The 12029-nt window shown below is 39.4% G+C and overlaps 1 long non-coding RNA gene across 1 annotated transcript in view; it reads left to right on the top strand.

The window, feature by feature from the left end:
• The window catches only part of LOC107986405 (uncharacterized), a 34244-nt gene extending 30296 nt beyond the window's left edge, over positions 1 to 3948 (top strand). The window contains exons 2-5 of the long non-coding RNA XR_001742600.2: positions 1311 to 1413; positions 2288 to 2560; positions 2896 to 2961; positions 3813 to 3948. This is a non-coding gene — a long non-coding RNA (uncharacterized LOC107986405). The remainder of the gene's footprint in view (positions 1 to 1310; positions 1414 to 2287; positions 2561 to 2895; positions 2962 to 3812) is intronic.
• The last annotated feature ends 8081 nt before the right edge of the window (positions 3949 to 12029 follow it).

The following is a 12029-nucleotide window of genomic DNA, read 5'->3' as shown; positions in this document are numbered from 1 at the left end:
ACATGTATTCCAGAACTTAAAGTATAATAATAATAATAAAGACTTAACAGTTTGTATAGTACAGGCTTTGACCAATCAAAAATATGCTGGTGATATGGCTTGGGTGTGTCCCCATCCAAATGTCATCTTGAATTGTAGTTCCCATAATCCCCACATGTCATGGGAGGGACCTGGTGGGAAGTAATTGAATCATGGGGGCAGTTCCCTCCATGCTGTTCTCGTAATAATAAGTTCTCATGAGATCCAATGATTTTATCAGGGGCTTTTCCCTCTTTCCTCGGTGCTTCTCCTTCATGCTGCCATGTGAAGAAGGACATGTTTACTTCCTCTTCTGCCATGATTGTAAGTTTCCTGAGGCCTCCCTAGCCCTGCTGAACTGTGAGTCAATTAAACTTCTTTCCTTTATAAATTACCCAGTCTCAGGTATTTCTTCATAGCAGCATGAGAATGAAATAGTATAGGTGGCTTCAAGAATCCTTACTTTTATCTGTAAAATGGAGATGATAATAATTCCTACCTCACAGGTTGTTGTGAGAGTAAATAAGTTACAGTGCATGAAATATTTATCCCAGGGCCTTCCACAAACAGGACACTGTAGTGGCATCTGCTATTACTCTCACCGTTCTTATTGTAGTTGGCTCATTACCAGCCATGTCCAAACCTATCAGAGCAGCCTCTTGCATCTCAGCTTTTCTTTATCATTGTGCTCATGTTGTTTCTACAAAACACTCACAACAAGTTGCAATCATATCTGTTTTTGTTTGTGTATTTGCCCAGAACCTGTCTTTTCTCTAAGTTCCACCAGGGAAGTGTATCATGGTTGTCTCTCTCCTGGAACAAATGACTCCTACACCTCAGCCACTTCACACAATAGAAGATTAGTTCTCTCTTCATATGACAGCTCTATGTGAGTGTCTAGTGCCCAGCCTTCCAGGTAGTGATTCACGGACACGTTTTGTGAGTCCTCCTTCCTCTGAGGCCTGGGACTTTTCTGCTGGATCTTCTGCCTCCTTTCACATGGAGGGTGTGATGGTTAATTTTAGGTGTTTGCTTGACTGGACCATGGGGTGTCCATGTAGCTGGTTGAACATGATTTCTGGTGTGTCTGAGAGGGGATGTCTGGAAGAGATGAGCATTTGAATCCATAGACTGAGTAAAGTAGTTTGCTCTCTCCCATGTGGGTGGACATCATTCAATTCACTGAGGGCCTGAACAGAACACAAAGCCTGAGGAAGGTTGAAATCCCATTCTAACCAACTGTCTGAGCTGGGACATCAACCTTCTTTTTCTCTCATGCTTCTTGTTCTCAGGACTTCAGCTTAGAGTGCAATCTACACTGTCAGCTCTCTGGCTCTCCAGCCTTCAGACTACACCACCGGCTTTCCTGGGTGTCCAGCTCGCAGACAGCAGATGGTAAGACTTCTCTGCCTTCATAATCATGTGAGGCAATACCTTATAATCTTTTTACATCTCCCAATCTCTATCTCTGGATCTCTTCATGTTTCTCTATCTCCATCTCCATCTCTCTTCTTGGTTCTTTTTCTCTTGGGAGCTCTGACTAATGCAGAAGGTTTCCAATAGACCTGGCCTGGGAATATCTGACATCACTCCCACCCACATTCCCTTGGCTAGTGCTCAGTCACATGGCCATATAGCTGCAAGGCAGGTTGGGAAATGTAGTCTGGTTGTGCCTGGCAGGAGGTGGGGAAGGCTGTGGTGAGCATCTGCTAAATCTCCTTATAGGGCAGCATTGTGTCAGTGGTCCCAGCATCCACAACAGTGCTGGGCATGAAGTTGACAGTGAATAGACACTGTTAAATGAGTGATATCTTCACCTATCTAAATTTTTTTCCTAAACATCCAAAGAGCAAGAAATTAATATATATTATATATATTTATATATTAATTATATAATTAATATATATTTATTATTAATCATATAATTAATATATATTTATTATTAATCATAATTAATATATATTATTAATTATACAATCAACATATATTATTAATTATACAATCAACATGTGTTATTAATTATATAATCAACATATGTTATTAATTATATAATTAACATATATTATTAATTATATATAATATATAAAATTTATATATATATATTTCTGAGCTTCAATAGCACTTATAAGTTTTATTCCTTACTGAAAGACTCATGGAAAGGTGATTTACAATAGCAGGGTGCTAGTCTTAGCTCTGCCAGGGAGACCCAGCTAAACCTTGGAAAAGCCATTTCACCGTCTAGGGCCTCAGTTTCTTCATCTGCCCACAGAGTCTCCAGGGGTGCAGAGGTGCCGTTGGGTTTTGATTAACAGCACAGTTCTGTTTACGGAAGAGACCTGAAATCAACATTTCTGGATTGATTTTCTGACCAGCATAGCTCCCTGTGACTGACACATTCCTCAGAGTATGCTGTGATCTGAGGGAGATACATTCAGAAGAAGGACTCCCAGGCAGGTGGATAGGAATGACCCGAATGTTAAAATTTAGATCGTCTCTCCGCATCCCTTCCAAGAGCTGGCAATGAGCCTACAGTGTAATTCAGGTATATACTTTCTATTTTAAGACTTCGGTCAGCCCTTAATGATAATTCTTCAATAAATGTTGTGGTTTATATTGGAATTACAGAAAGCTCCTTGATAAGCCTTTTGCTACAGGCCTAAGTTCACGTGTAGGTGCCAAATTTAGAAAAGACAATACAGGATGCATGTTGCATAGGACATACTTTTAGCAAAAAAAAAAATTGTTGTTTATCTGAAATTCTGATTTAACTGAAAACTTTGTATTTTATGTGTCAACCTTATTCATGCAATCCTTCAGGCTTTAGCGTTGGCTCTAAGAATGTCCTGTTTCCATTTCTGATTGTTTTGGTGATAGCAGAACCCATTGCAACCTTCCATGATGTGTGAACTGTCAGAGAAAGTGCCTCCTCCTTCCTTATCTAATGTAAGTTTATTAATTGATTGTTGACTTGGTTTTTCATACCTGAATTTCCTACCTCCATTTCAGCGGCTCACTGAGCAGGCAACCCCATCTTTCTGCACTTGCACTCCGTAGGTCGTTTTACTTTTTAGCCTTGAGTAGAAGGGGTCTTCCTGGCCTTCCTTTCATCTTACTTTCCACCTGACCACAATTACTCAGCCAAGTCCCTAATGATTATATTTGCATCTTCTTTATTAAAACTGGGGTTGACCTTAACATCTGTGAGCCATGTTCTGATTTAATTAAGATACACTTGGTTTAGTCCACAACCACTTATAAATTTTAATTAAATTGGGTATATATTAAACTGAATTATTTTACAAGAACCCATGCATTTGATAAGAAATGTAATTATCTGTGTTTGAAATGTTATAGTTTTATAATTTGAAATCCTGATTTTAAAGGGGTAGTCATTTTAGTCAACTTTAGCCTTGAATAAGCATTGATGAGGCCATTTCTGACTTTGATTTTAATTTATATTAGTTTCTTCTCATTATCAGAAAATATCCATCATTCATGTATTCATTTGTCCATTCACTAGACACTGAGAATCTGTTCTGTCAGAGATTGTGCAATTCACCATTTTGGAAGCTTAAATCTGCAAATTCATAAGAATTGTCTTCTTTTGACCTTGCTTTTTGTCCCATAGCCTTCGTGAGTTAGTTGTCCACTTGGATATGAGCAGGTTATCTTTTCATTATTGATTTACATGTTCAACTCTTTCAGTATTTAGAAAAAGGTTTAGGTAAAAGTGTCTAAAATGTCTCCCTCAAAGAAAAAATATCCTCTTTCATCTTTTTTTTTTTTTTCCCCAGGGCATATTATGTCTGATTAGGGAGGTAAAAGAAGGCTGTGTATGGAAGGTGAGTGTGATGGACTGAACTGTGTTTTCCTAGATTCATATATCGAAGGCCTAACCCCTAGTGTGACTGTATTTGGAGACTGGACTTTGTGGAGGCAATTAAGGTTAAACAAATTCATAAGAGTGGGACCTAGTCCACTAGGATTGGTAGCCTTATAAGAAGAGGAAGAGTTGGCCGGGCACGGTGGCTCATGCTTGTAATTCCAGCACTTTGGGAGGCTGAGATGGGTGGATCACGACGAGGTCAGGAGATCGAGACCATCCTGGCCAAATAATGAAACTCCATCTCTACCAAAAATACAAAAATTAGCCGGGTGCGGTGGCACGTGCCTGTAATCTCAGCTACTCAGGAGGCTGAGTCAGGAGAATCCCTTGAACCAGGGAGTCAGAGGTTGCAATGAGCTGAGATCGTGCCACAGCATTCCAGCCTGGCGACAAAGTGAGCCTCTGTCTCAAAAAAAAAAAAAAAAAAAAAAAAAGAGGAAGAGTCATCTCTTTCTCCCTCTCTCCATGCATTTGCACTGAGGAAAGGCAAGCCAGGAAGAGGGCATTTACCAGAACCCAACCCCGCCGGCATCCTGATCTGGGACCTTCAGCCTCCAGAATTATGGGAAAATACATTTCTGTTGTTTAAGCCACTCAGTCTGTGGCATTCTGTTATGGCAGCCTAAGCTGACTGAAACAGGGACCCTGAGTCTGACCTTGTGGCACAGGTAGGACTTCCATGGGTGGCTGGCATGCTGGCTTGGGTGGGAAGCTCTGTCTTTATAGTAGTTTTGTCCCTTGCTGTGACAGGCTCTATCAGGCCAGCCACCTCCTTGCTCCTGAGAAGAGCACAGATTTTATCATCCGGATGGGGCATAACCTTTGACTGTGGAGTAAAACTAACCAGTCTGTCTTTGGATTGATGCATGACCTTGACCCATTACCACCGCATCTTGACTGATTGAACTTTTCAGCCTAGACACTTGTGATTTACAACCTAAGGTCCTTTGCAGAAAGATGAATGTGGGATTCAGTTTATCAGGTCCTAGGGCTTGCTTCTGTTCCGTCAGGGGAGATTTTTCCATTAAAAGAGGTATTAATCCTTTCCGTTTTTTGTGTCCCATTGAGTCTCATATGTCAACAGATTTCACAACATTAAAAAAAAAAATCTCAAGTTCAGCTTAATATTTTATGTGACTTTTATACTGCTGAGCTGTGTCCAGCACTAAAAGTGTGGTTCCTGATTTTCCCTCTGAGTCCCACCTTCTGTATTTCTTTGATGCACTAAAAATGCTCTCTGTGGATCAATGGAGAGTACCAGCCCTCCAGACATAGAGCTGTGACAGAAGATCAATGTGTGGTGTGGATGGCTGAGAAGAACCTTCAATAATGTTTTAAAAGGAATCTGCACTCCTCCATCCCCACTCCATGGAGACTGCCAGCAGCGCTCATACCAGCTAACATGCATTCTTCTCCTGAGTGTGCAAAGGTTTCATGAAACCAGCAAAGGAAAGCCGTGGTCCACATCCCCATTAAAAAGCATTTTGATTTGTAGATTATTCTGACACTTTTTCTCCCCTCTCCCATCCCTCTAGTGAGAATATTTAAAAGAAAACAGAACCTGGCACTTTGCTTAAGTCATGCAGTGAAACCTACCATGTGCATCTTATTTTCAATCTAAAAGCAATGCTTAGCAACTTTTACTTGCTGGCATCTTCTTGTGCCAAGAACAGTGAGAAGGTCCTGCTGGTGGGAACCAGAGGCTATGTTCTCCTGGCATCAGTGAAGAGGAGAAGTATAAGAGCCCCATTTATTTCCTTCTTGTTACAGTGTAAAGCAATATAAAATTGCCATCTGTAAAAGAATCTACGAAGAGGCTGCAAGCAGAATATTTGCAATCCCCAAGACCATGGATGCTGATTTTTGCCAGATCCTCAGGCACATCTTACCAGCTTTGGATTTCTCCTGGTGGAGCACTATTTGGGTAACACACTCTTAGACTTTCCTGGAAGAAAATGGAACAAAATTCACACCCAGAAAAATTTTTAGGATCCTGGAATTAGATAAAATTAGGCAGGTCTTAGAGGGCATACTTTTCATAACAGTTTATGTAGCTTTGTTTGCTAGCTAACACAAAAATAACAACAACTGTAAGACAGACAAGAAACTCAAAAAGCTCTAATGCGTTATTGAAGCACCGTGACTGTGAGAATTCCTCTGCTTGGAATGGCTTGCTTGCAGCTGTTGAATGGTGGTGTTAAGTTGCCTGTGATTTGCAGTAATGTGCCACCACGTTTCAGTCCATGGGTGCTCAGTAGTGCGAATGAGGTGTTGGATGCACCCAGAGGTGGTGTCGCCTGTTCAGAATGTGAGAGGGAAGTGGGAGGGGGCAGGGCAGAGGAGGAAGCATGGGCTGTTCCGCACAGGTAGAGGAAAGGTGTGTTTTATGCCAGGGAGAAAGGGACATGGGGAAATGTGGTATCTGTTAGCATGAGTGGAAAAGAGCCAAGTGCAGTAAAGAAGTATTTTTCTGATTAAGAAATGATCATCTGCAGTGAACGTTTATGGCTAATAATGATTTAGAGAAGGAAGAGCTTCAGGTCACACAGGACATTGGAAACAGACCTTCTGATATTTCTTTCTAGGGCACCACAGCCTGATTCACTCTCTAGAGCTGCTCTGATCAATATGGCAGCCCCTGGCCATATTGATCCTACAAACTCTGCTTTGACTAAGTTCTAGAAGAAGGGGAGTAGAGGGGGAGAGAAGAGGTTTGCTTCTGAGGGAGGGAAGCAAATGCAGCCTGTGAAACAATGTTCTCTCCACTCTCCCTTGAACTACTCAGCATGTTTCCTGTTTAACCTTGGGAATTATTTACAAAACTGAAAAGTTTCACTTGGCTAACTGAAAGTAGTTGTTGTTTTTTTAAAAAAAGATGTGTGGTGCTTTTATCATTTTAGAAAGATAAAGCTAAATTCTTTCAGCCTTTATTTAGAGATAAACCTCTAAATCCTGGTACACACATATTTTTTAATCTCACCCCAAGGAAATAGCATTCTGATCCTTCATGAGTCATCATTCAAATTCAAGCAAACATCCTGCTGGTTTAGTTCTCTAACCTTAGTGTCCAAAAGGTATTTCTATTTGGCGAATCACCTTGGGAGTTTCCCACCTCTCCTTCGGGCATCACCTTCTCTTCTGGGCGACAGTCGTGCAGATTACACTGTTCCACCAAGAGTGCCTGTTCTATCACTGTGAACACATTAACATACCATGCATGATCATTACAGAAGGCACTATGGGAACCACTTGGTGAAAGGTGCTTTGTAAAAAATAATGCTACATAAATGGAAGATCATTATTACTAGATTAGCTTCTGTCTTTCAGACTAATTATTTCACAGTCTTCCAGAATGCACTGCATTTGCCATCTGCTGGCCCAATTACCTAAATGATTGAGATTCCTTTAAACCTGGTCACACAGCTCCTCATTCTTCTTTGCAACTCCCATTTTAGTGTTGTCAGCAGATTTTAGAGCCCTGTTGTTCAGATCCTTGTCAGAGCCACTTAGCTTTATGATGCGTGGCAGTGCTCCTTGAAGGAGCCAGTGACTCTCCTTGCTAACTCAAAGTTGAAGGCAAGGGAGGCTCACTTTAGTTTCTTAATCTAGTATTTGCTTAGTTTTTGTCATCTACTATTTTGTTCTCTCTCTTAAAGCTTTACATGGAGTCTTTTTGAAAAATCAAATAAAGCTACATAACACCTGCTTTCTTACATTTCTTCATCAACTTCGATGGAGGTGAATAAATTTTGACTTCTTGGCCATATTCTTTAAAAATTAAATTCTGGAAAGTTAGTTAAGGATGATTTCTTTCACATCTGAACCCTTTTTGCTTAAGCCATTTTTTCTACATTGTTTGCTTTACTAGTTTTCAAATACTATTCTTTTTCCAGATTAGGTCTCTAGAAGAAATTTTAATTTGTATTCTAAATTTCCATGGTTTGTTTAATTCTCTGGTAGATATGTATATGCATGTTTAAATCAATCTGAATTAAGCTTGAAATTGGACATTGAGCAGAGAATCGTGGCATGGCCACAGGAATCCCCACTCTTACCACAGGGCATAGGCAGTTGCAAGTGGGCACTAAATGCTTTGGTGTTGAGTTTTCAGGTAACTCAGGTTTATTTTGGACACTGCCATTGCCAGGACCTCTCCTCTTCTTGCAGATATTCTACTCTTTACTCTGCCTTATTTGTTAATACAAAACAGTGATTTCAAATCAAAGTAAATAATATCATTGGTGGCTCCATGCTGTATGCCAGTCATAGGCTTAATAACTATGGATGATACACAGCATTTTTAAAAAGTATCACTGCATGTTCCATTGCCATAGTCAAATAACAATGAAAGCCTTAAATATCAGTTTTTGATATCAAAACACTTCATGGTTAATTGGTGAATTAGTCATGCAAACAGTAATTACTGCAGGAAATCTAAGAAGGGAGAGATCAATTTAAAAATTATTTTTCAAAATGAAATGGATTTTAATTGTTTTTTATGCTTGCAGACATAATATGCACTTATTATAAACAGTATGCAGAGATGCTAAAAAGAATGAACCAGAAGTCATCTGTAATTTCTACATAGAGGTAACCACTATTAACAATTTAGGATATAGCCTTCTAGGCTTTTTTTTTTAGTTGTTGTTGTTCTATAGTAACATATCAGTTAGTCTTTGCTTCATTACAAACCATCTCAAAGCTTAGTGGCTTGAAATGCTAACCATTTAATAAATGATTCTGTCAACAAAAAGACTCAAACTCTGTAAAATGTTTGAAAAGATTTATTCTGAGCCAAATATGAGTGACCATGGCCTGTGACACAGCCCTCAGGAGGTCCTGAGAACAAGTGCCCAAGGTGGTTGGGGTGCAACTTGGTTTTATACATTTTAGGGAGGCATGAGACATCAATCAAATTACATTTGAGAAACACATTGGTTCAGAAAGGCAGGACAACTCAAAGTGGGAGGGGCTTCCAGGCTATAGGTAAATTTAAACATTTTCCTACTGACAATTGGTTGAGTTTGTCTAAAGACCTGGGATCAATAGAAAGAAAACCTTCAGGTTAAAATAAAAGATTGTGGAGACCTGGGTTCTTTTGAAGTCTTACAGTGGCTGCCCTTAGAGACAATAGATGACAAATGTTTCCTGTAAAAGGTGTTAGACTCCTACTTAATCTCCTGAGGATTGGGAGGCCTGGAAGAAAAAGATCTAGCTATGTTAATAGAGATTCTTTACAAATGTACATTTTTACCCAGAAAGGACAGCTTTGCAGGACCATTTTAAAATATGGCAAAGAAACATGTTTTGGGATAAAATATGTTGACTTTCTTCTTTGTCACATAGTGTTATATGCCATATTGGATTTGGAAAGTAAGTCACGATATATAGGGTTAAATAAAACCCATCTGGTGAGAATTTATAGTTTGTAGGGTATGACTCCCCAGACCCCTTAGATAGGAATTTGGGCAAGATAAAAAAAATTCAGCATAGTCTGCAATTATTAAGGTTGCAATTTGGGCTGGGTTCAGCTGGTCAGTTCTGGTCCAGGCCAGTCTCAGGTGACTGCAGCTGTTGAATGGTGGTGTTAAGTTGCCCATGATTTGCAGTAATGTGCCACCATGTTTCAGTCCATGGGTGCTCAGTAGTGAGAATGAGGGGTCAGATGCACCCAGAGGTGGTGTCGCCTGTTCAGAATGTGAGAGGGAAGTGGGAGGGGGCAGCTCCCCTCAACCTCAGCTGAGCTTGGTCCTGTGTGGGCAGTGAGCTGGTGATGGGTCTTGACTAGCATGGGTAGGAGAGCTAAATCCTTTCTTCAGTGGCTTCTCTTGCTGCACGAGGCTGCTTGGTCTGGTTCACAAGGCTGTCTCAGGTTTCAAGAGCAGCAGAAAGGCAACTCCAATACGCAAGCACTTTTCAAGTCATTGCTTAAGTCATGTTTGCTATTGTCTCACTGGTGAAAAGGAAGTTGCATGACTAAGCCTAGAGTCATTGTGAAAGGAACCATAGAAAGGCATGAATACAGGGAGGCATGAACAAACTGGGCACACTACAGAAACTAGATCTACATAGTTCTAATATTTTAGCACAATGAGATCCTACTATACACTGTTCTAGTCAGGGTTCTCCAGAGAAATGGAACCAATAGGAGGTATATGTATGCACAGAAAGATATTTATTATAAGTAATAGGCTCACATGATAATAGAGTTTGGCAAGTTTCAATATCTCACTCACTCCAGAGTGAGTTGGCAAGCTAGAGATTCAAGAGAGCTGATGGTTTAGTTCCAGCTCGAGTCTGAAGGCCTGAAAGTCAATAGGGCTGACAGTATAGTTTTAGTCTGAAGGCTGGCAAGCTCAAGGAAGAGCCAATGTTTCAGTTCAAGATCAAAGGCAGGAAAAAGTCAATGTCCCAGTTCAAAGGCAGTCAGTCTGGAAGAATCTTCTTTATTTGGGGTAGGGGCAGTCTTTTTGTTCAAGTTCTTGGATGACTGGTTGAGACCCACCTACATTAGGGTGGGCAATCTCTTTTACTCAATCTACCAATTTAAATGCTAATCACACCCAAAAACATCCTTACAGAAATACCCACAATTATGTTTGAACAAATATCTGGGCACCTTGTAGCCCAGTCAAGTTAACATATTAAAATTAACCATCACACATGCTATTGCAAACTCTGCTTTTTAATTTTAAATATATGTCAAGGACCTTTTTTTGTGTCTGTAAATATAGTTGGATATCATCATTTCTGATGGCTGTATAGCTTACTATTGATATAATTTCTATTCTATTGACAAACATTTCTTATATTTAATTGTTATATTTTATAATGAAATTTGATGTGTATTAACAAACTGTCCTCTGAATAATTTTTACATTCTCACCAGAAAGTTTAAGAGTTTGACTATAATACCTTCACTAACACTGACTGATAGTTCATTCAGAAAATATTTAGTGAGCATCTACGTGCACGGCAGTATTTCAGGAGCTTGGTATGCTCCTTAAAGTATCAGAGCAGGCAAGGTTCCTGCCATCATGAGACTTCCATTCTAGTGGCAGAAATACACAGTAAGCAAACAAACACATAGCTCAGCAAAGTACCATGACAGGTGGGGCAAAGGATGTCAATGGTGTAATATTATATAAACATAAAGGGGTGGAGGTAACTATTGTAGACAGGATCATAGTTTTTATTTTTGCCAATCTAACTGCTAGAAGGAGAAATCACTTTAATTCTGAGTGGGAAAGAAAAATCATATGAAGAAAGTTGAATTTGAATTGGATTTTGAGGTATACAAAATAGAGTTGGGTTAGACACTTGGCACAAAGACTTCTGGAGATTTTGCATGACCAAAATTGTTAGGGAGAAAAACTCAGGGGTGATTAATGAAGGATGGGTCAATCAGTTCCTTAAACCAATTTTAGAGAAATCAAGTAGGTGTCCCGTCCACATTTATGTCAAGCTGTCTGAAAAATGTTATTGTGTTTCTGGGTTAAAAAATTATGTATATTGAGTTAACACCACCTGATTATACTATGTGTTTCCTTTTCTAGTGACATTTGATCATTTGGCTTGAGTAATCTGAATTTTTCTATTGATGAAACTGAATTTTCAAGGTAGAAATTTTGTTCCCTAATTCAACACTCAGCTCACAATAGGTTCCCTCAAATGGTAAGAATGGATGGTTGGGCATATCTCTCCTACCACAGATGTCAAGTCTGTATTTTTTAGGTCACAGTATTTGTAACTTCATGTTTCATCTTTCAAAGCATAACTATTTTTTGTAAAATGGTTCCTGCAATTAAGATACATTACCACCAGGAGGCAGTAGTGGGCCCTCATTGCACCATATAAATCACCATATGGTGAGCAGGGTAAGAAATCAGCAGGTCATTTTATTATAAATGTTGATTTTTAAAAATTTGAGTTTAACATTGGCCTGAATAATCTGTAATTACTTTAGAGTGGCATGTAAAAAAAGATAAAAGCCTAAGATGCAATTTGATGCCTTTCTCCTTTCCAACATGTTTCTAGAGATTGTGATTCAAATGATCCTTTGTAATTCACCATGAATATTTTATAGCAAAAGCCCAATGAGAACTCATAGCAGATCTGCATTTCA

This window comes from Homo sapiens, chromosome 5 (genome assembly GCF_000001405.40).
Source record: "Homo sapiens chromosome 5, GRCh38.p14 Primary Assembly".
NCBI lineage: Eukaryota > Metazoa > Chordata > Mammalia > Primates > Hominidae > Homo > Homo sapiens.
This window is presented reverse-complemented; position numbering and strand designations above follow the sequence as displayed.